Below are 26,587 nucleotides of genomic sequence, written 5' to 3' on the forward strand. Positions count from 1 at the left end.
AGATGTCACCACTATGCAATATATGCATGGAAGAAATCTGCACTTCTACCCCTTACATCTATAAATATTTTAAAACTCTGTTCTTAAATAATTGCATCTCAGAATAAGATTTTATCTTACCTGCATCCCTGAATAAGGTTTACCTAGGTGTGGATTTCTTCTTTTTAGTTATGCAGCTCGTCATAAATCAACTCTTCATATACCTGTGGATTCATGTCTTTTGTCAGTTCTATGAAATCCTCAGGAATATTTATAGGACTACAGAAATATCCAACACCAGAGAAGGCAACAATTTTTGAAATCCAATCAGAAATATTAGGCACACAAACAAGTGGGAAAATAGCCATAAGGAGACAAATTAGTCTATTAAAACTGATGCAGAACGGGCACAGTGGCATTAAACAATATCAAAACTGTATTCCACATATTGTAAAAGCTAATTTGAGGCACGGAAGATATAACAACACTCTGGATCACTGTTCTAGAGGTGAAAGCTAGAACGTATAAAATGAGAACTGCACTGCATGGGATTAATGGCAGATTAGATATTAAAGAAGAAAAGATTATTCATTGTGAAACCATGGCAATATAAACTATCCAAAATGAAACCAAAAGCAAAGAGGATTTAAAAAAATTTAAGCCAAATTATCTGTGATCTGTGGGACAACTTCAAGTGGCTTAATATATGTTTAATTGAAGTCCCCAAAGGAGAGAAGAAAACATGAGGAATGAGGGTAGTGCATTAAAAAAGATGTTTGGAAAAATAATGACAACCTTTTTTTCCCCAATTCGATGTAAACTATTAACCTACAGATGCAAGAAGTTCAATGTACCTCAAGCACAAGTACCATTGAAGAAAATTACATCATGTCTCATTATAATCAAATCGCTCAATCCCAGTGATAAGTAGAAATTTTAAAAGCAGACAGGAAAAATTGTCAGACAAAGTATGTAAAGGGGAACACTGGTCCATCCTGTAGAAGTTATTTAAGACTTGTTGAGGCTAGTAAGCAGTGTTTTGGGCAATATTCCTTGTGTGCCTAAGGAGAATGCACATTTTCTATTAATAAATGAGCTTGCAGTTCCACAGATATCCCATAATTCAAGCCTGTTAATGGTGTTGTCCAAATCTATGTTTTTATTATTTTAAAAATACGATTGACCTAACTGTAATTGAGAGTTGCACTGAAAACTTCCACAAGTGATAGTGAATTTTTAAAAATTATTCCCTGTGGGCTCTATCTGTGTTTGCTTTACACATTTTCCCTCAATAAATACATCTTTTTTGAAGTCCCATTAGTGTAGGATTGTTGGTGGCAAACTTGGCTTTGATTTATCTGGAAATGTGATTAATTTGCTCTTTTTCCTAAAGATAGTGTTGCTGGTACATAATTCCAGGTCAAAAGTGTTTTTTTTTTTTTTTTTTTTTTTTTTTTTTGTCACACTTTGTGAATATTATTTGTCTATCTAGTGTTGTTACAATTAATACATCTGCTGTCTAACTGCTTTTCTTCTATGGATGATTTGTTGTTTCTTTCTGGTTGTTTTTAAAGTTAGATTTTCTTTTGTGTTCCCCATTACCCTACAATGTGTCTAGGCCTGGATTTCTTATTTTTATTCGTGCAGCTTGTCATGAATTACTCATCATATACCTGTGGATTCAGGTCTTTTGTCAGCAATTACCCAGGTTCAGGTATTTCTTTATAGCAATGCAAAAATGGGTCCATTCAGAAAACTGGCACTGAGGAGCAGGACATTGCTATAAAGATACCTGAAAATGTGGTAGCAGCTTTGGAACTGGGTAGTGAGCAGAGGTTGGAAGACTTTGGAGGGCTCAGATGAAGATAGAAAGATGGGAAAAGTTTGGAACTTAGTGACTTATTAAGTGGTTGGAACCAAAATACAGATAGAAATATGCATAATGAAGGCCAGGCTGACAAGGTCTCTGTCAGGCCTCTGAGCCCAAGCCAAGCCATCACATCCCCTGTGACTTGCACGTATACATCCAGATGGCCTGAAGTAACTGAAGATCCACAAAAGAAGTAAAAATAGCCTTAACTGATGACATTCCACCATTGTGATTTGTTCCTGCCCCACCCTAACTGATCAATGTACTTTGTAATCTCCCCCACCCTTAAGAAGGTTCTTTGTAATTCTCCCCACCCTTGAGAATGTACTTTGTGAGAGCCACCCCTGCCCACAAAACATTGCTCTTAACTTCACTGCCTATCCCAAAACCTATAAGAACTAATGACAATCCACCACCCTTTGCTGACTCTCTTTTTGGACTCAGCCCACCTGCACCCAGGTGAAATACACAGCTTTATTCCTCACACAAAGCCTGTTTGGTGGTCTCTTCACACGGACGCGCATGAAATTTGGTGTCGTGACTCGGATCAGGGGACCTCCCTTGGCAGATCAATCCCCTGTCCTCCTGCTCTTTGCTCCATGAGAAAGATCCACCTATGACCTCAGGTCCTCAGACCAACCAGCCCAAGAAACATCTCACCAATTTCAAATCCGGTAAGCGGCCTCCTTTTACTCTCTTCTCCAACTTCCCTCACTATCCCTCAACCTCTTTCTCCTTTCAATCTTGGCGCCACACTTCAATCTCTCCCTTCTCTTAATTTTAATTCCTTTCATTTTCTGGTAGAGACAAAGGAGACACGTTTTATACGTGGACCCAAAACTGTGGTGCCGGTCACAGACTGGGAAGGCAGCCTTCCCTTGGTGTTTAATCACTGCAGGGACGCCTCTCTGATTATTCACCCACGTTTCAAGGGTGTCAGACCACGCAGGGACGCCTGCCTTGGTCCTTCACCCTTAGCAGCAAGTCCCGCTTTTCTGGGGAAAGGGCAAGTACCGCAACCCCTTCTCTCCTTGTCTCTATCCCTTCTCTGCTTTTCTGGGGAAAGGGCAAGTACCCCAACCCCTTCTCTCCTTGTCTCTATCCCTTCTCTGCTTTTCTGGGAGAGGGGCAAGTACCCCTCAACCCCTTCTCCTTCACCCTCAGCGGCAAGTCCCGCTTTTCTGGGGGAGGGGCAAGTACCCCAACCCCTTCTCTCCTTGTCTCTACCCCTTCTCTGCTTTTCTGGGGAAAGGGCAAGTACCCCAACCCCTTCTCTCCTTGTCTCTACCCCTTCTCTGCTTTTCTGGGGAAAGGGCAAGTACCCCAACCCCTTCTCTCCTTGTCTCTATCCCTTCTCTGCTTTTCTGGGAGAGGGGCAAGTACCCCTCAACCCCTTCTCCTTCACCCTCAGCGGCAAGTCCCGCTTTTCTGGGGGAGGGGCAAGTACCCCTCAACCCCTTCTCCTTCACGCTTAGCGGCAAGTCCCGCTTTTCTAGGGGGCAAGAACCCCCAATCCCTTATTTCCACACCCCGACCTCTTATCTCTGTGCCCCAATCCCTTATTTCTGTGCCCCAACCCCCCTTCCCACTTTTCTGGAGGGTAAGAACCCCAAACCCCTTCCCTCCATGTCTCTACACTCTCTTTTCTCTGGGTTTGCCTCCTTCACTATGGGCAACCTTCCACCCTCCATTCCTCCTTCTTCTCCCTTAGCCTGTGTCCTCAAGAACTTAAAACCTCTTCAACTCACACCTGACCTAAAACCTAAATGCCTTATTTTCTTCTGCAACACTGCTTGGCCCCAATACAAACTTGACAATGGCTCTAAATGGCCAGAAAACAGCACTTTCAATTTCTCCATCCTACAAGACCTAAATAATTTTTGTCAAAAAATGGGCAAATGGTCTGAGGTGCCTTATGTCCAGGCATTTTTCACACTTCATTCCCTCCCTAGCCTCTGTTCCCAATGCGATTCCTCCCAGATCCTCCTTCTTTCCCTCCCGCCTGTCCCCTCAGTCTCAACCCCAAGTGTCGCTGAGTCTTTCCAGTCTTCCTTTTCTACAGACCCATCTGACCTTTCCCCTCCTCCCCAGGCTGCTCATCAGCAGGCTGAGCTAAGTCCCAATTCTTCCTCAGCCTCCACTCCTCCACCCTATAATCCTTCTATCACCTCCCCTCCTCACACCTGGTCCGGCTTACAGTTTAGTTCCGTGACTAGCTCTTCCCCACCTGCCCAGCAATTTACTCTTAAAAAGGTGGCTGGAGCTAAAGGCATAGTCAAGGTTAATGCTCCTTTTTCTTTATCCCAAATCAGATAGCGTTTAGGCTCTTTTTCATCAAATATAAAAACCCAGCCCAGTTCATGGCTCGTTCGGCAGCAACCCTGAGACACTTTACAGCCCTAGACCCTAAAAGGTCAAAAGGCTGTCTTATTCTCAAAATACATTTTATTACCCAATCTGCTCCCAACATTAAATAAAACTCCAAAAATTAAATTCCAGCCCTCAAACCCCACAACAGGATTTAATTAACCTCGCCTTCAAGATGTACAATAATAGAAAAAAGTTGCAATTCCTTGTCTCCACTGTGAGACAAACCCCAGCCACATCTCCAGCACACAAGAACTTCCAAACACCTGAACCGCAGCTGCCAGGCGTTCCTCCAGAACCTCCTCCCCAGGAGCTTGCTACAAGTGCCAAAAATCTGGCCACCAAGCCAAGGAATGCCGACAGCCCAGGATTCCTCCTAAGCTGTGTCCCGTCTGTGCGGGACCCCACTGAAAATCGGACTGTTCAACTCACCTGGTAGCCACTTCCAGAGCCCCTGGAACTCTGGCCCAAGGCTCTCTGATTCCTTCCCAGATCTTCTTAGCTTAGTGGCTGAAGACTGACGCTGCCCAATCGCCTCGGAAGCGCCGTAGACCATCACGGATGCCGAGCTTCAGGTAACTCTCACAGTGGAAGGTAAGTCTGTCCCCTTCTTAATCAATACGGAGGCTACCCACTCTATATTACCTTCTTTTCAAGGGCCTGTTTCCCTTGCCTCCATAACTGTTATGGGTATTGATGGCCAGGCTTCTAAACCTCTTAAAACTCCCCAACTCTGGTGCCAACTTAGACAACACTGTTTTATGCACTCTTTTTTAGTTATCCCCACCTGCCCAGTTCCCTTATTAGGCTGAGACACTTTAACTAAATTATCTGCTTCCCTGACTATTCCTGGACTACAGCCACATCTCATTGCCACCCTTCTTCCCAATCCAAAGCCTCCTTCGCGTCTTCCTCTCGTATCCCCCCACCTTAACCCACAAGTATGGGACATCTCTACTCCTTCCCTGGCAACTGATCACATGCCCATTACCATCCCATTAAAACCTAATCACCCTTACCCCACTCAACGCCAATATCCCATCCCACAGCACGCTTTAAAAGGATTAAAGCCTGTTATCACTCGCCTGCTACAGCATGGGCTTCTAAAACCTATAAACTCTCCTTACCATTCCCCCATTTTACCTGTCCTAAAACCAGACAAGGCTTACAAGTTAGTTCAGAATCTGCACCTTATCAACCAAATTGTTTTCCTATCCACCCCGTGGTGCCAAACCCATATACTCTCCTATCCTCAATACCTCCCTCTACTACCCATTATTCTGTTCTGGATCTCAAACATGCTTTCTTTACTGTTCCTTTGCACCCTTCATCCCAGCCTCTCTTTGCCTTCACTTAGACTGACCCTGACACCCATTAGACTCAGCAAATTACCTGGGCTGTACTGCCGCAAGGCTTCAGAGACAGTCCCCATTACTTCAGTCAAGCCCAAATTTCAACCTCATCTGTTACCTATCTCAGCATAATTCTCATAAAAACACATGTGCTCTCTCTGCTTATCGTGTCGGATTAATCTCCCAAACCTCAATCTCTTACAAAAGAACAACTCCTTTCCTTCCTAGGCGTGGTTAGTGCGGTCAGAATTCTTACACAAGAGCCAGGACCACACCGTGTAGCCTTTCTGTCCAAACAACTTGAACTTACTGTTTTAGCCTAGCCCTCAGGTCTGCGTGCAGTGGCTACTGCTGCTTTAATACTGTTAGAGGCCCTCAAAAATCACAAACTATGCTCAACTCACTCTCTACATTTCTCATAACTTCCAAAATCTATTTTCTTCCTCATACCTGATGCATATACTTTCTGCTCCCCGGCTCCTTCAGCTGTACTCACTCTTTAAGTCCCACAATTAGCATTGTTCCTGGGCCGGACTTCAATCCAGCCTCCCACATTATTCCTGATACCACACCTGACCCCCATGACTGTATCTCTCTGATCCACCTGATATTCACCCCATTTCCCCATATTTCCTTCTTCCCTGTTCCTCACCCTGATCACGCTTGATTTATTGATGGTGGTTCCACCAGGCCTAATCGCCACACACCAGCAAAGGCAGGCTACGCTATAGTACAAGCCACTAGCCCGCCTCTCAGAACCTCTCATTTCCTTTCCATCGTGGAATCTATCCTCAAGGAAATAACTTCTCAGTGTTCCATCTGCTATTCTATCTGCTATTCTACTACTCCTCAGGGATTATTCAGGCCCCCTCCCTTCCCTACACATCAAGCTGGAGGATTTGCCACCACCCAGGACTGGCAAATTAGCTTTACTCAATATGCCCTGAGTCAGGAAACTAAAATACCTCTTACTCTAGGTAGACACTTTCACTGAATAAGGCCTTTCCTACAGGGTCTGAGAAGGCCACCACAGTCATTTCTTCCCTTCTGTCAGACATAATTCCTCAGTTTAGCCTTCCCACCTCTATACAGTCTGATAACAAACCAGCCTTCATTAGTCAAATCAGCCAAGCAGTTTTTCAGGCTCTTAGTATTCAGTGAAACCTTTATATCCCTTACGGTCCTCCGCCTTCAGGAAAAGTAGAACGGACTAAAGGTCTTTTAAAAACACACCTCACCAAGCTCAGCCACCAACTTAAAAAGGACTGGACAATATTTTTACCACTTTCCCTTCTCAGAATTCAGGCCTGTCCTCGGACTGCTACAAGGTACAGCCCATTCGAGCTCCTTTTTATTAGGCCCCAGTCTCATTCCAGACACCAGACCAACTTAGACTGTGCCCCAAAAAAACTTGTCATCCCTACTATTTTCTGTCTAGTCATACTCCTATTCTCTGTTCTCAAGTACTCATACATGCCCTGCTCTTGTTTACACTGCCAGTTTACACTGTTTCTCCAAGCCATCACAGCTGATATCTCCTTGTGCTATCCCCAAACTGCCACTCTTAACTCTTGAAGTAAATAAATAATCTTTGCTGGCAGGACTATGCTGAATCTCCTTAGGCACTCTCTAATCAGATATCCTGAGTCGTCCCAATTCTTAGACCTTTTATACCTGTTTTTCTCCTTCTCTTATTCCATTTAGTTTCTCAATTCATCCAAAACTGTATCCAGGCCATCACCAATCATTCTATATGACAAATGTTTCTTCTAACATCCCCACAATATCTCCCCTTACCACAAGATCTCCCTTCAGCTTAATCTCTCCCATTCTAGGTTCCCACGCTGCCCCTACCCCTGCTTGAAGCAGCCCTGAGAAACATCGCCCATTCTCTCTCCATACCACCCCCCAAAAATTTTCGCCGCCCCAAGACTTCAACACTATTTTGTTTTATTTTTCTTATTAATATAAGAAGGCAGGAATGTCAGGCCTCTGAGCCCAAGCCAAGCCATCGCATCCCCTGTGACTTGCACATATACATCCAGATGGCCTGAAGTAATTGAAGATCCACAAAAGAAGTAAAAATAGCCTTAACTGATGACATTCCACCGTTGTGATTTGTTCCTGCCCCACCCTAACTGATCAATGTACTTTGTAATCTCCCCCACCCTTGAGAAGGTTCTTTGTAATTCTCCCCACCCTTGAGAATGTACTTTGTGAGAGCCACCCCTGCCCACAAAACATTGCTCTTAACTTCACTGCCTATCCCAAAACCTATAAGAACTAATGACAATCCACCACCCTTTGCTGACTCTTTTTGGACTCAGCCCACCTGCACCCAGGTGAAATAAAGAGCTTTATTCCTCACACAAAGCCTGTTTGGTGGTCTCTTCACACGGACGCGCATGAAAGTCTCAGATGGAAACGAGGAAGTTATTGGGAACTGGAGCAAAGGTCACCCTTGTGTGCCTTAGCAAAGAGCTTGGCTACATTGTATTTGTGTCCTAGTGATCTGTGGAAGTTTGAACTTAAGAATGGTAACCTAGCACATCTGGCAGAAGATATTTCTAAGCAGCTAAACATTCAAGAGGTGACATGGCTGCTTCTAACAACCTATGATCAGATAGGGGAGCAAATGAATGACTTAAAGTTGGAATTTATACCTAAAAGGAAAGCAGGGTGTAAAAGTTTGGAAAATTTGCAGCTTAGCCATATGGTAGACAAAGAAAAAAATGTTTTCAGGAGAGGAATCCAAACAGGCTGCAGAGCAACCACTTACTAGAGAGATTTGCATGGCTAAAAGGGAGCCAAGTGCTAATATCCAAGACAATGGGAAAAAGACCTTGAAGACATTTCAAAGATCTTCGCAGCAGCCCCTCCCATCACAGGCCCAGAGGCCTAGGAGAAAAGAATGGCTTAATGGGCCAGGACTAGGGCCCTGATGCCCTGTGCAGCCTCAGGACACTGGTCCCTGTACCCCAACTTCTTCAGCTACAGTGGTAGTTCAACAGTCTCCAGGTACAGTGTGGACTGCTGCTCTAGAGGGCAAGCCTTGCTGGCTTCCAAGTGGTGTGAAATCTGCAGGAACACAGAACACAAGAGTGAAGGGGCATTGGCAGCTTCCCCCTAGATTACAGAGGATGTATGGGAAAACCTGGGTGCCCAGGCAGAAGCCTGCTGCAGCAGCAGAGCCCTCACAGAGATACTCTATGAGGGCAATGTTGGGAGGAGATGTAGGGTTGGAGCCCCACACAGACTCCCGACAAGGGCACTGCCTAGTGGAGCTGTCAGCAGAGGGCTTCTGCCCTCCAGACCCCAGAATGTTTGATCTACTGGCAGCTTGCAACCTCAGCCTGGAAAAGCCGCAAGTACTCAACTCTAACCCATGAGATTGGCTACAGGAGCCACAACCTGCAAAGCCACAGGGGTGGAGTTGTACAAGGCCCTGGGAGCCCACACCTCACACCAGTGTGCCTCATGGAGTCAGAGGAGATTATTTTGGAACTTTAAGGTTTAATGTCTGCCCTGCTGAGTTTCAGACTTGCTTGGAGCCTGTAGCCTCTTTCTTTTGGCCAATTTCTTCCTTTTGGAATAAGTATGTTTACCCAGTGCCTGTACCATCATTGTATCCATTGTATCTGGGAAGTAAATCACTTGTTTCTGATCTCACAGGCTCATAGGTGAAAGGAATTCATCTCCAGATGAGACTTTGGACTTGGCATTTTTGATTGAGTTGATCCTGGAATGAGTTTAGACTTTCAGGGACTATTGAGAAGGGATGATTATATGTTGCAAGGTGACCTGGACATGAGATTTGAGGGACCAGGGATGGAATGATATAGCTTGGAGGATTGTCCTCTCCAAATCCCATGTTGAGATGTAATCCCCAGTGTTGGAGGTGGGGCCTGGTGGGAGGTGTTTGAATCATGGGAGCAGGTTCCTCATAAATAGTTTAGTGCCATCCCCTTGGTGATGAGTGAGTCCTTGCTCTGGTAGTTCACTTGAGATCTGGTCATTTAAAAATGTTGGCGTCCCCTCAACCCCACCACTCTCTCTTGCTCCTGCTCTCACTACGTGATGTGTTGGCTCTCACCCCACCTTCAGCCATGATGGAAGCTTCCTGAGGCCTCACCGGAAGCCAAGCAGATGCCAGCACCATGCTTCCTGTACAGCCTGCACAACTGTGAGCCAGTTTAACCTATGTTTTTAAATAAATTACCCAGCCTCAGGTATTTCTTTACAGAAACACAAAAACAGCCCAATGCATGTAGTAACTTATAGATATATTTAGAAAACTGATTATCTTTTAAAATATGACTACTAAACAGACTAAAACGCAGAGTTCATTAAAATACAGAGGATGCCTCTGGTTCTCTGGTATTGACTCTTTTTGTCTACTAAGATAAGAAGTCTGGGCTAGACTGAAAAACTCAGAATCCAGGTCTGGGGTTTCTCAGTACTATGCTCCCATTTCCCAGTACTGTGCTCCCATTTCACAGTACTGTGTGCTCCCATTTCTCAGTACTGGGCTCCCATTTCCCAGTACTGTGCTCCCATTTCTCAGTACTGTGCTCCCATTTCCCAGCACTATGCTCCCATTTCCCAGGACTGTGAGCTTCCATTTCCCAGTACTGTGCTCCCATTTCCCAATGCTATGCTCCATTTCCCAGTGCTGTGAGCTCCCATTTCCCAGTACTGTGCTCCCATTTCCGAATACTGTGCTCCCATTTCCCAGTACTGTGAGCTCCCATTTCCCAGTACTGTGAGCTCCCATTTCCCAGTACTGTGCTCCCAATTCCCAGTACTGTGCTCCCATTTCCCAATGCTATGCTCCCATTTCCCAGTGCTGTGAGCTCCCATTTCCCAGTACTGTGCTCCCATTTCCAAATACTGTGCTCCATTTCCCAGTACTGTGAGCTCCCATTTCTCAGCGCTGTGCTCCCAATTCCCAGTACTGTGCTCCCATTTCCCAATGCTATGCTCCCATTTCCCAGTGCTGTGAGCTCCCATTTTCCAGTACTGTGCTCCCATTTCCCAGTACTATGGGCTCCCCTTTCCCAGTACTGTGCTCCGCTTTCCCAGTACTATGCTCCCATTTCCCAGTGCTGTGCCCTCCCCTTTCCCAGTACTGTGCTCCCATTTCCCAATACTGTGCTCCCATTTCCTAGTGCTGTGAACTCCCATTTCCCAGTACTGTGCTCCCAATTCCCAGTACTGTGGGCTCCCCTTTCCCAGTACTGTGCTCCCATTTCCCAGTACTATGTTCCCATTTCCCAGTGCTGTGAGCTCCCATTTCCTAGTACTGTGCTCCCATTTCCCAGTGCTGTGCTCCCAATTCCCAGTACTGTGCTCCCATTTCCCAGTGCTGTATACTCCTATTTCCCAGTGCCATGTGCTTCCATTTCCCAGTACTGTGCTCATATTTCCCAGTACTGTGCTCCCATTTCCCAAAACTGTGCTCTCATTTCCTAGCACTGTGCTCCCATTTCCCAGTACTGTGCTCCCATTTCCCAGTGCCGTGCTCCCATTTCCCAGTGCTGTATACTCCTATCTCCCAGTGCTGTTTGCTCCCATTTCCCAGTACTGTGCTCCTATTCCCCAGTACTCTGTGCTCCCATTTCCCAGTACTTTGTGCTCCCATTTCCCAGCACTGTGCTCCCATTTCCCATTACTGTGCTCCCATTTCCCAGCACTGTGATCCCATTTCCTAGTACTGTGCTACCATTTCCCAGTACTGTGCTCCCATTTCTCAGTACTGTGCTCCCATTTCCCAGTACTATGCTCCCATTTCCCAGTACTGTGCTCACAGGTGTGAGCCAACATGCCCGGCCCATCAGCTCTTAAGCAGCAAGAGGCCCTGCAGCTGGCTGGCTGGCTGGACAGCACAGTTAAGCAGGTGGCTGCATCCTCTGCAGTTGCTGGCAGCCCATCTTCCTGGAGATGTAAACCCTCCTGCAAGGCTGGCTCTTCTTTGGGTGTGATGAAGATGATGACAGAGATGGATGCTGGGCTCTGAGGGTCCTGGTTCCTTCGAAGGACATCCAGGGGCCTCTGAGATGATGGGCTCTGGTTCCTGGCCTGTAGCATGGGTAGGAGCAGGAGGCTTTGCAAGGTAGACTCTACAGGCAGGACCTTGATGGAGGGTGGGGTTTCAGGGTAGAAGACCTGGATCACAGGGGCACCTGAGCTCCTGCAGGACAAAACAAAGTCACTCTTTGAGCAGCCACCAGGGAGGAAGCTCAGCTCTACTTGTGATGGAAACCCACCGGTGGCTTTTACCCCAACCTGTTGCCTGGAGAGGCAGGGCTGGTTTCTGCGTGGATCATCACCTTGGCTTAGACACAGAGCCCCACTCCCAGCTGGGTCTAGTGAGAGTCCTCCCGAGCCAGGCTCCTGCCCTCCCCATCCTTCCAGAAAACTTAGAGATGAGTGCATCACCGACAGAGGCCATTTTCTATTGTTATTCTTCGGAAATACATCCTTTTGAAAGATAACCCATCTTTTATCACTAGATATTTTAAAAAATATTTTCTTTGGCCAGGTGTGGTGGCTCACACCTGTAATCCCAGCACTTTGGGAGTCCGAGGCGGGTGGATCATGAGGTCAGGAGATCGAGACCTTCCTGGCTAATACGGTGAAACCCCGTCTCTACTAAAAATACAAAAAATTAGCCAGGTGTGGTGGCGGGCAACTGTAGGCCCAGCTACATGGGAGGCTGAGGCAGGAGAATGTTGTGAACCCGGGAGGCGGAGTTTGCAGTGAGCCAAGATTGGGCCACTGCACTCCAGCCTGGGTGACACAGCGAGACTCTGTCTAAATACATATGTGTGTGTGTGTATATATATATATATTCTTTGTTTACGGCATTTATCAATTGAATTATGTTGTGTCTAGAATTTTATTTCCCCTTCTTGGATTCACTGGGCTTTATGAATCTGTGAGTTGGTGTCTTCTAACAATGTTGGCAAATTCTCAGCCAAATCTCCTTAAATATGACATCTTCCCAATTTTCTCTCTTTTCTCTTTCTGGGACTCTAAACATAACATAGCCTTCAAACTGTATTCTCATTCATTTTTTTCACATTTTGCATTTCTGTCACTTTGTATCTATTTCAGTAAGTTCTTCAGCTCTAGATTCTAGTTCCCTAATTCACTTTTCAACTGTCTATTTTGTTGTTAAATCCATCCACTTTAAAAAAATCAGTGATATTTCTCATAAGTTTTATTTGGTGTTTTTCCAAATCTGCTTTGTAATTTAAAAAATAGTTTTCTGTTCTCTTCAGATATTTCTGACTTTGTGTTTTCTTTCTTTATGTTTTGGTCTGCCAAATTCAACATCTGAAATATTTATGTCTGTTTCTACTATGTTTTCTGCTGCTTCTCACTCAGTGCTTTATTTTCACATGTGGTGGGTTGTTTTTCATTGAGAATTGCTTCTTTGCTTTGTAGTTTTATTTGTGAGAAATCTTTGAGGCTTAGGATGAAGGTTTGTTACTCAGAAGGAATTATGCTTGGCTCCTGGGAATGACCAGTTCAGAATCACTCTCTATTAAATTCTCAGCTTGGGGACTTTTGGTCACCCACCTCACACAAATTTAGGGAGAACCTGTTGCTCCAAATACTCGGCAGTGATTTTTCTCTTTTTCTTTCAGCTCTAGGGCTTGAAATGACTGATCCCCCCTGATTCCTTTGCGGGTAGAGAAGTGAGTTGCTTCTAGTTTGCCACTGCAATGAGGGTACCGCCCTCTGGGGGCCCTTACTTTAAGAGATTACTGATTGGCTTGCCATTTTGGCTGTGCTCTCAGCTTGATCTGCCCTTTGTACCTCCTGAAAAGGTGAAAATGAAGTTGACCAGGTTTCACAAATGCCCTCAGGGCAAAGGCCAGCTGCACTCCCCACTAGATTTCTCTTTGGGTTCCTCTGTGCCTTCAACCCTGGCCTGAGAATTCCTTATGTCTCCTCAGTTCATTAATGCCTTTAAGAATATTTACACACGCACTCACATGGACACGGACACGCGCACGCGTGCACACACACACCCTTAACTTGCTCAGTTTCGGAGCATTGTCCGATCCTTGTAAGTGACTTGCCACATGACTAGAACCTCTGGCTTCATTTCATTCCTTCTTTCTTTCCCCTCCCTTTTCCCTTTATGCCATCGGTCTGTATTCCACGATCTTTAAAATCTACCTTAAGTACTTTCTGGGATTATGTAAAAATCAGACAACTCTCCTAGCCACCATCCTTTTCTAGAGATAGGAGTGACTGACTCCTACACCACAGGCACTTTGGAGGGGTAAGGTGTAATACTGAAGAAGTGTTTTGTGTGCTCTACAGTAATTCACAACTCTAAGACGTTATCACAGCGAACATTTGCTGTTTAAAACCTTAGTGGTGAATATTTTTTTTTTTGAATGAGGCTAATTCATTTCGAAAGCACCCTAGGAAGACCAGATGCTTTTGAAATGATTTAGCCTCATTCAAAAATAATGCAAATGATAAAGAGCATGAAAATGATAAAGAATGTGACCTGAAATTATCTGCAACTTCAGCAGACAAGCTGTGGTTGGCTGAGTTTGGGCTTCTATAAAACACACTGAGCCATCTTGTTTCAATCACTAATCAAGCTCTGCCCTGGGAGCTTGCTCTTTGCTGTGGTTTGGACATCTGACCCTTCCAAACCTTATGTTGAAATTTGATCTCCATTGTTGGAGATGGGGCCTCATAGGACGTGTTTGTGTCATGGGGCTGGACCCCCTATGAACAGATTAATGCCCTCCCTCTGAAGGGAGTGAGTTCATGCTCTAGTACTTCTTGCTCTAACCAACCCATGAGACCTTGTTGTTGAAAAGGGCCTGGAGCCTCCCCCAGCCCTTCGCCTCCTCTCTCTCCATGTGATCTCTGCACATGTCAGCTCCCTTCACCTTCTGCTGTTAGTGGAAGAAGGCTGAGACCCTCACCACATGCAGAGCTCAATCTTCAACTTTTCAGCCATCAGAATCATAAGCCAAATACACGATTTTTCTTTATAAATTACCCAGGCTCAAGTGTTTCTTTGTAGTAACACTGATAGACTAAGACACGCCTTGTGTCCATCACTGTTAGTCACTGTTGCTCACGGAAGGGAGTCCACAGCTCCATTTGATGCTCACATGGAAGGATGTCCACAGAAGCTGTCAGTTTTTGCAGATTATTTGCAAGTTGATGCTTCGGCCAAGCGTCCAGCTCCACTTCTCAGGCTCTGCTACTCCTCAGCCATTTCACTGTTCCACACAAAGGAAATGGTGGGAGGAGCACGTAGACTCAGGTGCTGTTCTGTAGACATTCTACATGAGCTCAAGTTGTAGCCTCTTAAGTTTGTCCTCCATACCACTGAGACAATTTTTTACAGCACCAATTTACTTCTTCTTTCCTTGAAAGATTTTAATTTTGCAACTTCATGGTCAGTTTCTTGCAATCTTTCCACATCTCATTCATCTCCCCTTCAATCTCAGTGGATTTGTCTTCTCATCTCAACTTGTCTCCAATTATGATTTTGACTCCTGCCTCATGAAGACCCCGTGCTATGCATCTCAAACGCCTTTTTTCTAGAGAACAATTTTCACAGGTTTGCTGTCTCTCTGGGCTTTCAAGGTGATGTCTATTCCCAGTTCTGCAAAATTTTCACAGGATTTACACAGAACCATGAGTCCTGCCCTCTTGTCCTCTAGGGTGCTGGTCAGGGCTGTGCTGCTGGGAGACCTTGACATTCCTCAGGGCTCTATGGCACCCAGACGGCTGTGGGAGCTGCCTGGAGCACAGGAACTCTGAGGATACCAGGGCTTTTGATGTTTTGCCCGATCATAGGGCTTTTCTTGTATGGATCATGCCTTTCAGGATACAGTATGCCCTATACCCTTTTCCTGTCCAGCTAGCTTTTGGGAGGTGCCTCTCTGAAGCATTGTGAGAAGGCAGGTACTGAACGGTAGACTTCAGGGTGTAAAGCAGCTTGCTTTGCCTTGGAAAGCCAAGGTAACACCTTAGAGAAAGGGTTGCAGTCTCATTTTAAGGTACAATCATGTCTCATGTTTCTTAGCTGAGGGGATATAGTAGTGGAGGGAGAGCATGCCCCTCTGTTTTCAAGTGCTCAGTCTACCTATTCTGATGGCAGAGCATGTCTGGATGGTTTGCCAACTCATGTGTGTGCCTGATAGCAAATTCCTTTAGCCTTCTAGTGAGTAAACTTTCCCCCTGATTCTGAAAGTAAATGATCATTTGTTTCACGGTTAAATTTCACTGCATTCTATGGATCGTCCTAAATGTTTGAGCAGAAAGCAGGGATAGGTAGGATCAGAGGCATCTAATCAGAAACCATCTTAAAATGGCAGGTGTTCATTATTTAAAGTTCTTAGATCAGTACAATTGGGTGAAAATAATTCTTAGTTTAGACTTAAAGGCAAGTATGGAAATGAGCAGTGTTCAATCTATACATTGTTTACTGCCTAGAAAATAAAGATGAATTGATACTCTCACAGCTCGGCTGCCATGCACTACTTCTAAAGATGGACACACGGTTCCTGTTCTGGGGTTACTGTTGACATCAAGAGACAAACGACAAGCAGCCCAGCCCTTGAGTTTGCACTGGTGATTTTTTAAAGAAGATATTTCACTCTCTAGAGAACCAAACTTGGGTAGATTTCAACATGACCTGCACTGCCACGTATCTTACCCGAATCTCAGTCTTCACTTTCAGCACTGTCAGTTTTCATGGGCTCTGTTGTTTCTTGTTGCAGCCTGTTTGCAATATTCAGAAAGAGAGACAACAGAGAACGTATGATGTAATACTTGTTATACTGCCAAAGTGCACAAAATGTGTAAACAAGAGTACATTTTAGAGATTAGCTTGTGACGTGGGCAATCACTTCACCTCTCTGAGTTTCAGAGCCTTCATTTTTGTGAAGACAGTAACATGACTGCACTGCTGAAAGAATGTTGCTTTTTTCTTCTGCATGTGTGCTGATATAGAGACAAAGTGTGCTTTCCCTGATAAATAAGAGGGTCTTGTGGTAGCCAAGGAAGCTTGTTTGGATTTCCAGCATGAAAAGTGGCGAAATGTGGGGCCCACAGGAGGTCAGCTCATGCCTGGTACCTTCTTCTCACAACTCTTGCTTGATTGTGGTGAGTTCTTGCTATCGTGGAGCCTTAAGTGTTTTTATACCCACATCTTGAGTACAGGTGTTTTGTTCTCTGCCCTGATGTTACACTAGCCCAGCCAGCCAATGACTTGATTGTTTATGTGTGCTGGGCAGCTGGCAGGAGAGGTGACCGTGTTGCTGCCCAGACTTTCCAGAGGGTTGGGGATCCGGCTTAAGTTGCAACGCTGAATGTGTCAGGAATTAGAGACCAGAAACGCGCAAAATTTTGCTTTGAAAGATTTTGAAAGACCCACAAGCAAAAAAGTCACTAGGGACTTCTAAATCAAAACAGCGTATCCATCACATGCTATAGTCTCCCTTCTCTGATCCAATCCTTAAAAATTATAATCAGGATATAAACGGATCCATAAATGAGTAAGGACAGGACATCAAAGAAAAGCAAGAGGGAAACCTTTCTTGGATCAGAAATGATGACTCCTAGGAGGAAAGGATGCAAATGGGAGCTGATGCAGAAGGCCATGGTCAGGAGTGTGCTGCAGAACCTGGAAGAGACCCCCAGGAATTGCCATGGAGGAGCAGTGGATGCTCAGCTGGGCAGGGCTCCTGATGGGGTGATTAGCTGGGGGACTTGTAGGCTGAGCGGCCAGGCAGTGACTGCTGCTGCAAAACTTCCCAAACTATAGGCAACAATGGGAGGGTCTGCCACCAGATTATTGCAGGGGGAGCAGTAGTCTTGGTAGACACAGAGAAGTGCAAGGAAAAATTACACAGAAGGAAGTGACAGGACTCAGTAAGTAAAGGAGAACTGGGGTATCACCAAATGAATCCAAAAATTACTGAGAATAAAAAGAAAAGAAAATATTAATTTCAAATGAAAATAAAAGCATGGCAAAGTATGATAGGTGAAATGGTGGAGGATTGTGAGACATACAGGTTGGTGGGGAAGAATGTAGATAACTGTGTTGTAAAAGTGTGTGTAAGTATGTATATAAAAATGCAGAGGAAGTTTACCTAAGGACAAAATGGTATTGTAGAAAGCTATAGAGCCTGGTCCTTCCACTGAAACAACCATTGAGCTATAAAGAGCAATTGCAATGAATTATTTGGAAACTCTGAAACCTAGTCAGACATGTATGGGAGAGTGCTTGAAGAAAGGAGAAGCTGGGCTGGGTGCAGTGGCTCACACCTGTAATCCCAGCACTTTGGGAGGCTGAGGTGGGTGGATCACGAGGTCAGGAGATCGAGAACATCCTGGCTAACATGGTGAAACTCTGTCTCTACTAAAAATACAAAAATACAAAAACAAACAAACAAACAAAAAAGCTGAATGTGGTGGTGAGTGCCTGTAGTCCCAGTTACTCGGGAGGCTGAGGCAGGAGAATGGTGTGAACCTGGGAGGTGGAGCTTGCAGTGAGCAGAGATTGTGCCACTGCACTCTAGCCTGGGCGACAGAGCGAGACTCTGTCTCAAAAAAAAAAAAAAAAAGGAAAAAGAAAAAGAAAGGAGAAGCTGCTGGTCTTTCGTGAATGGTGTACATGAGCCAGCTACCGCCTCGATTTCTTAGTCTTCCTGTGGCTATAAGGGCAGCAACCTACATTCTTGGAGCAGCTGGCTGATGTCAGAGTGAGCGTCAGGGACCTTGTCCTCAATAAATTTGAGGTGGTACATTTTGGTTAGTCTGGTGGTGCCCTGAGGGATCAATACAGAGGCTTGCCTTGGTTTTGATCCACTTGGCAGCAGTGGCTTCCTCCAGCAGCAACCATTGGAAGATTTAGAGAGACACACAGTACCCCCTTGTTTGTAGCTAGATATTTGAGGAAATCTTTGATAGTTCACTAACTGGTCATAGAGATAAAGGAAGAGCAACTTCAGTGACAAGAAATACACATTTTGCAAAACTACTTTGGAAAGGGCACAAACTGATGGTTCCAGCCTTTAACAAGAGAAAATCCACAGTCCCAGAGGAGGAGAAGCACTTGATTTTTAGAGATACCACATTATGATACACAGAATATCCAGTTTTTAACAAAAAAAGAACATATAAAGAAATAGAATAATATGGCCCACTCACAGGGGAAAAAGACTTGGCATAAACTATGTCTGTGAAAGCTCAGACATTTGAATTACTAGTCAAAGACATTAAATCAGCTGTCTTAAATATGCTCAGTAAACTAAAGGAAGTCACTGACAACTAAATAAAGTAGGAAAATTACATATGAGCAAATTAGATTAGTAGTAGAGATAGAAATTATATATTTTTTAAAAACCAAAAAGAAACTGGAGCTGGAAAGTACATAACTGAAATAAAAAGTTCATTAGAAGAGTTCAACAGATCTGAGCAAGCAGAAGAAAGGATCAGCTAACTTGAAGACAACCGAAATTATCCAGTCTGAGGACCAGAAAAAAAAAAAAAGAATGAAAGAGGATAAACAGAGCTTGAAAGGTTTGTTAGACACCATCAAGGGTACCAACATATGCAACATAGGAGTCTCCAAAGTAGAAGAGAAAAGGAAAGAGGCAGAAAAAATACAGTGTTCCCCCATTATCAGCAGTTGTGTTTTCTGCACTTTCAGTTACCTCTGGGCAACCACAGTCCAATAATATTAAATGGAAAATTCCAGAAATAATTCACAAGTTTTAAATTGTGTGTAGTTCTGAGTAGCATGATGAAATGTCATTCTGCCCTGCTCTGCCCACCCAGGACATGAATGATCCCTTTGTCCAGCATATCCATGCAGTATACACTATCTGCCCATTAATGTACAGGAAAAAACATAGTGTATACAGGGTTTGGTACTATCTACAGTTTCAGATACTTACTGAGAGTCTTGGAACGTATTCCCCACAGATAATGGGGGAGCAGGAGACTACTCTATTTAAAGAAATAATGGCTGAAAACTTTCCAAATCTAATTAAAGGAATGAATCTACACATCCAAGGAGCTCAACGAATTCCAAGCAGGCTATATGCCAAAAGATCTACGCTAAGACACATTACAGTTAGATTGTCAAGGCATAGACAACGAGAGAATTTTGAAGGCAGGCAGAGAGAAGTGACTAATCAGAATCAAGAGATCCTTAATAAAATTATCAGGTGATTTCTCATTAGAAACTAAGGAGGCTCAAAGGCAGTGGGGTGACATATTTAAATGCCCTGGAAGGTGGAAAATACCTGGCAACCAAGAGTTCTATATGGGACAAATCTATCCTTCCAGAATAAAGCAATAACTAAGACATTCTCAGATAGACAAAAATTGAGAGAATTCTTTATCAGTAGAACTACCCTAAAAGAAATGTTAAAGAAATTATTTAGTCCTAAATGAAGAGACATTAGACAGTAACTCAAAACCATACAAAGAAATAAAGAACATTGGTAAAGAAATAAAGAACACAGGTAAATATACAAGTCAATAATATTGTACTTTGGGTTTGTAACTCTTTTTTTCTATATAATTTAAAAGTCTAATGCATAATACAATAATTATAAATATTGTTAATGGGTGCACACTGTATAAAAATGTAATCAATGACAATGGCAATATAAAGGGTGAGGGATGGAGATGGATAAAAGCAGTGTTTGTGTACTATTGAAACTAAGTTGGGGCTGACTGTAGTGGCTTACTCCTGTAATCCTAGCCTTTGGGAAGCTAAAGTGGGAGGATCATGTGAGACCAGGAGTTCAAGTCCAGCCTGGCAACATACTGAAACCCTATTTCCACAAAAAATAATTTAAAATTAGCCAAGTGTGGTGATGTGTGCCTGTAGTCCTAGTTACTTGGAAGGTTGAGGTGGAAAGATTGCTTGAGCCCAGGAGTAGGAGGTTGCAGTGAGTTATCACTGTGCACTCCAGCCTGGGCAACAGACTGAGTCCTGTCTCAAAAAAAAATCTAAGTTGGTATTCAAACTAGGGTGTTATACATTTAAGACATTAATTATTATCCCCAGCATAACCACTAGGAAGATAATTAGAAAATGTACAAAAAAGGAAAGAACAAAGGGATCAAAATGGAACATTACAAACATTCAACTAAAGATTTTTTAAATGGGCAGGAATTGAGAAATAAAAATATATATGATATACAAAATGCAAAAAGCTAAATAGCAGAAGTGAATCATTTCTTATCAGTAATTACTTTAAACATTATATATATAGATAGATAGATAGATTGAACTTTTTAATTAAAAGTCAGAGATTGGTGGATTGGATTTTTAAAAAGCTGAAGTGCCTGTGGACAAAGATGCTGAGTTAAAGGAGGTTGTCTTCCTTACTGAGTAATAGAGAAGCTCCCGGGCCCCGAGATATGGAGGGTCCCAGGGGCAAGGGTGAGGAGCGAGGATGGGGGTGGGATGTGAGGTTAAGCACAAGGGTGGTAGCTAAGTGTCCATATATGGAACATGTTGCTGACCCCACACAGCAAGCAGCTAGCCTCTGCCACCCCACAGGAGATAAGAAGGGTCTGACGTCAGGACACCAGAGGTGTGGCAGGTGGGAGAATTGGGGAAGGCACTGGAAAGGAAAGAGTGGGGCTAGTGACCATAATACTGAATAACTAGAGCCTTTCGTGGGAGAGAGAGGGAGTACTTACTTCTCAGAACTTATTAAGCTATGGGAAGTAAGATGATAAGAAATTAGTGCAGGGATAGACAAAACTGATGAGTGGAATTGACTAGACAGCCCAGAAATAGACTCAAATATGTGCATAAATGGAATTCAGGACAGAAGAAGCTTTTTATGCCAGTGGGGAGAGGACCTGCTCAATGAATGGAGCTGGAAACAATACAAATCCATAGAGGGAAGAATGAAGTTAGATCTCTACCTCACACCATACACTGAAATCAACCAAACATAAAGACTCGGCTCTCAAAATCAAAACTGAAAACCCTTAGTAGAAATAATAGATGGCTATCTTTTGGATATTTTGGTGAAAAGATTCATTAATCAAGACCAAAAAGCATTACTTATACAATATGTATAAACATGACTATACTGTAATGCATGATCTGGTTTCTAGAATGGTATATTAAATTAAACATGGAGTTAAGCTGCACGTGGACAGACTCTATCTGTAATTCACCCAACTGACAAAAGGTTTGTATAAAGAATATATAAAAACTCATATAAATCAATAAGAAAAGCACAAAGAGTCCAGTGGAAAAATGGACTAGGGACATGAGCAAGTGCTTCATGGAAGAGAAAACTCGTATGACTCACATGTGTTCAGATTCATTAATAATGAGGGAAATACTGAAGTAGGCCACAATAAGCCACCAGTTCACACTACTCGACTGTCAATTCCAAGTGTTGGAGAGGACATGAAGCAATAGGACTTCTTATACCCTGCTGTGAGAGTGTAACATGTGCAACACCTTTAAAAAACAGTGGCCTTATCTCTGAGAGCTGGACATTCTAGCAATTGCACCACTAGGAATAGCCCCTGGAGAAATGGTTGCACCTGTACAACAGGAGATCTGTCAAGATCAAGCAGCACAGCTGGGTAGCAAAAAACTGGAAGCCATCTCCATGCCCAACCATAGCAGAGGGGGTAATTAAGTGTGGTACGGGGTGGAACAGCCACAGAAGCAAACGCCAACAGACTACAGCGACAAGCAGTATGGACAGACCTTGGCAATTTAGTACTAAGTGAAAAAGGTGATTCCTCAAAGATTCCAGATACTACATACGCACAATGTCCTTTCTGTTAAAAAAAAAATGAAAAAGTATTCAATGTATTGCACGTATGTATGTACTCTTTAGGAATATACATCTATATCTATATAGATATCTAAGGAACAAAATTTGAAGGAAAGCAAGAGAATGAAGAGCATGAGCGGGGTGCAAGGACTTGGAATGGGGGCCCCATCAACAGATAAAGATGATTCAGACTCCGCTTTTGTTGTTGGTGCTTCCTCCACTATCATAAATAAACAAAATACGGAGTCAATGAAGGAAGCAGGTCACTCACAGATCAAGGATGAATCTGTTCCCACCCAGGATTGGGATTCGTGTGACTCTGGGCACCTGGGATCCAAAACAAGGGGAAAGAGGCAACCACCATTCACTGGGCATCCCAAAGCCAGACCCTGGGCAGTGATGTTCACAACTCCAGGAGCTCACACACAACCTTCTTGGGAAGAGATACTAATATGTTCCCATTTCCTTGTGAGGAATAGGGGCTCAGAGTGGTTTAAAAACTTATGAGATTATAGAACCAGCAGCATCTCCACACTGGCCCAGAAACGAGGTCTGTCTGATGCCAAAGTCCAAATGCAGGTTACGGTGCCAATTAGTTTCTGATCACTCTGCTAAGAGGAGCTTTGCATTCCTGTGAAGAGTGAGAGAGGTCAGCCTGGGATGCCTCTGGGGGTATCAGAGCAACAGGATCAGACGCAGGTCCTGGACTGAGCCTGCAGCTAAGAGAAGGCCACAGGCGGGGTCTGGGGGTGCAGGCCAGTCCCCATCAGACTCTCAGTGATTGTGGCCACTGGGGTTAAGGGCCAGAGTGTGACCTTCCGTGGTCAGAATGGGGCTCTCCTAAGTGGACTGAAAGACAAACCCTAGATCTTCAGGTGGGTCCTTCTGAATCTCTGGTGCCACAGAAGGAAAACTGAGCACTGCAGCCCCATGGGGATGGGAGGGGTCAAGTTGCGCAGCCTCCCCCTCGCTGTGCAGCCTCTTGGGAGGGAGCACGCAGGACATCTGAGAGGACCTGCACCCTTAGCCTTAGACCCTTTGCTGGCTGTATGACTGCTCAGCTCTCGGTGCAGAGAGACAGCCCTATGGTAGCTGCATCTGCCCTCCTCTCCTCTCTAGCTCCTCTGCTCTGCCTGAGCTGTCCTCTGGGTGTGGGTTCAGACCTGTCCACACATCCTGTGCTGTGTCATCAGTGCTCCCAGCCATGCCCCACTTCCAGGCTCCCTCACTCAGTTCCCCTTGGACGTCTGCATGTGTCTCCAACACACTTACGTGTTCCATCTTTTTTATTTATTTATTTATTTTGAGACATAGTCTCACTCTGTCACCCAGGCTGGAGTGCAGTGGCACGATCTTGGCTCACTGCAACCTTCACCTCCCAGGTTCAAGCGATTCTCCTGCCTCAGCCTCCCGAGGAATGGGATTACAGGAGCATGCCATCAAACCCAGCTAATTTTTTTTTTTTTTTTTTTTTTTTGAGACAGTCTTGCTCTGTCGCCCAGGCTGGAGTGCAGTGGCACAATCTCGGCTCACTGCAAGCTCCGCCTCCTGGGTTCACGCCATTCTCCTGCCTCAGCCTCCCGAGTAGCTGGGAGTACAGGTGCCTGCCACTACGCCTGGCTAATCCTTTTGTATTTTTAGTAGAGACAGGGTTTCACCGTGTTAGCCAGGACAGTCTTGATCTCCTGTCCTCTTGATCTGCTTTCTCGGCCTCCCCACATGCTCCATCTTTTGACCATCAGTTACACACACACACACACACACACACACAGACACACAGATGCATACTATTTATTCCCCACCTGTCTCCTATATGCAGTTTTCCCAATATTTTATTAAAATTTCAAACATAAACAGGACTGGAAAAGGCTTTACAAAAAAATAAAAAACAAACAAAACCTGAACCCAGCACCTGGAAGCGACCAGGGCTAATGTTTGTCCTCCACCCCATCACATAACTGTCTGCCCATCACTCTGGTCTGCCGCATTTCAGACTGGTTGCAGACATCTGCACCCCTCGCTGAGATGCACACACGGCACTTCTGGGCCTTTGTTGCTGTTGGAGCAGCACCCTTCAGGACCCTTCCTGTAGATGGTGAGCCTGTGTCCCCAGATTCACAGGCTGAAGTCCTAACCCCAGCGTTGTGTGTCATAAAGCGGAGCCTTTGGTGTCAGCTCCCGAATGTGGGACCCGGATGACAGGATTCGTGAGTGCCTTCAGAACACGCATGTGAGTGAGATCTCACTCTCAACTCCCTGCCTTGTGAGGACAAGCAGAGGAGGCCATCGGAGAACCAGGAAGGGGCTCTCATCAGACACCGGATCTGCCGGCGCCTTGAGCTGGGACTTCCCCTGCTGTGTGAGGACAACCAGAGGAGGCCGTCGGAGAACCGGGAAGGGGCTCTCATCAGACACCGGATCTGCCAGTGCCTTGAGCTGGGACTTCCCAGGCTCTGGAATGGTGAGAAATACATGTTTGTTGCCTAAGCCCCCGGTGTGTGGTATTTCTGTTGAAGCAGGCTGAACAGACTCAAACACCTAGGAATGCTTACAATTAGTCAAACGAGCAACTCGGAATATTGTTGTAACCTCCACTGTGGAGGAAGGCTCTGTGCTGCCCACTGGAAGGAAGAGGCCAGCGGCTTTGGGGATACCCCAGATGACGAGGTCCTTTCTAGAGGCCAAACAGCAGCGGGGCTCAGGCTCAAGCCCTGGGAGGGAGACAGGAGCTCCTCATGATCCCCTCTTCTAGGAAGCGCGGGAGGAAGGAAAGACCATGTGTCAGCAAGGCAGGGTCTCGCTTTGGGGAGGAGCTCACAAGAGGCCATTAAGGCTCCAAAGTTCCAGACAAGCACCATTACCGTGGTTTCTGCTTGTCAGCAGATCCCAGGAACAGGCAGCTCCTGGGAGGCTGCGTGAGTGCTCAGGAGTATACTACACAACAGACACCACCTGGGCATGACGCTTACATGGAAAGCACCCTGGATGCTTGGCAGGGGGATGATGCAAAGGAACAGCTCCAACCTCCAGTGGAAAATTAATACAAGCCACTGAATGAGGCGCTGGGGATTAGGGTCTTCACACGCGAAATCCTGCTCCCTGTTCCCACTTTCATTCCAGCTGGTCAGCTACGTCCACCCATTCCCTTCGACATCCCACAGCAAAACGCAGACCAGAATATCCCCCATCGGTTTGTCTAATATCCACCACTAGAGACACTATAAATCCCTACACATTTCCCACAAAACAGACCTGTGATTAGCAACATCACACCTCACAGGCTCTTAGTGAATGGACTTTCCCCGTGTGGCAAAGCGTGACATGATTTAAACAAAGTCCCTGATCGCTAGAAACAGATGTTTGTAATGTGCGCAGCAGGCAGAGCCTGAAGTAGAAGGCTGTGAGTGAGTCTATAAGGTGGACCAGCTGGATCCAAACTGTTAGGTGACCCTGGAAGCATATTCTGTGACAAAAAAAGGGTTAATGGTAACTTATCGCCTGTTGCATCTAGAGGCTTTGTAAACTCGTGTGGTGTTGGTATAACACTTTTCACATTCAACAAGGTTAGCTCATTCTCCTGTGGAGAAGACTTGAATGAAATGAAGAAGGCTTCCAACAAAGAGGAATATGATTTAAAGATGGAGTGGTTTATGCCCATCTTTAACGCAACAATGTAGAGTTTAAAAAGCAGGTGCCTAAAGAGGTGTATTAAATGATAATTTCATTTAGAAAATGGGTCTAATACACAGAAAAAATGTTAAAAGGGAAGCTGCAGGAGGTGCCAATCAAAATGCCTGCAGTAGCCATTGGTGGGTGGGGGGACTGTGAGTGACTTAGGTTTTTACACCAAGAATGTTTGTAACTTCCCAATTTTCTATTTTGAATGTGTACTGATAAAACATATATTTTTTTTCAAAGTGAAAGTTTACAATCCTGGTCACAATTAATTTTCTATCATTCTTGCCAGAAATGGATAAAGGAGAAAATGTCTTAGTTTTTACCTAATAATAGAACCATAGGCTATACTTCAAAGTAAAATTCAGAATAACCTGAATTCACTAAATCAAAGAAAACCAGTTTACAAGGAAAATTAATGGGTTGTGTGAAAGAGCATTTTCACACTAAGTGATATGTAATCCTTGATTGCTGAAACTAGGCAAAACTCTTAAGCAATTCTCAGATTTGAGAAATTG

At 44.7% G+C, this 26,587-nt stretch overlaps 2 protein-coding genes across 14 annotated transcripts in view, besides 1 other annotated feature; both read right to left on the reverse strand.

Moving 5' to 3' along the window:
• The window catches only part of TPPP (tubulin polymerization promoting protein), a 40,866-nt gene extending 40,663 nt beyond the window's left edge, over positions 1 to 203 (reverse strand). Inside the window, exon 1 of the mRNA XM_024454346.1 lies at positions 121 to 203. The gene's annotated coding sequence lies outside the window, so the exon portion shown is untranslated. The remainder of the gene's footprint in view (positions 1 to 120) is intronic.
• Positions 8,090 to 8,643: an enhancer, noted in NCBI's record as "NANOG hESC enhancer chr5:708729-709282 (GRCh37/hg19 assembly coordinates)". NCBI's record gives its function as "activates a minimal SCP1, AML or CMV promoter by ChIP-STARR-seq in naive H9 embryonic stem cells {active_cell/tissue: H9 hESC(naive)}" and the evidence as "EXISTENCE:reporter gene assay evidence [ECO:0000049][PMID:30033119]".
• The window catches only part of ZDHHC11B (zDHHC palmitoyltransferase 11B (putative)), a 74,375-nt gene continuing 57,618 nt past the window's right edge, over positions 9,831 to 26,587 (reverse strand). For 11 of the 13 annotated variants that reach the window (NR_147095.2, NM_001351303.2, XM_017010111.2 and 8 more), the window contains 2 exons: positions 16,277 to 16,341; positions 9,831 to 11,758 (listed from right to left, as the gene is read on the reverse strand). Coding sequence is in view for 1 of the 13 variants with exons in the window: in NM_001351303.2 (NP_001338232.1) it covers positions 16,284 to 16,341 (58 nt within the window). In the remaining 12 variants the exon portion in view is untranslated. The remainder of the gene's footprint in view (positions 11,759 to 16,276; positions 16,342 to 26,587) is intronic. The other 2 variants (NR_147096.2, XM_047417580.1) reach the window with 1 other exon arrangement.

This window comes from Homo sapiens, chromosome 5 (assembly GCF_000001405.40).
Source record: "Homo sapiens chromosome 5, GRCh38.p14 Primary Assembly".
Taxonomy (NCBI): domain Eukaryota; kingdom Metazoa; phylum Chordata; class Mammalia; order Primates; family Hominidae; genus Homo; species Homo sapiens.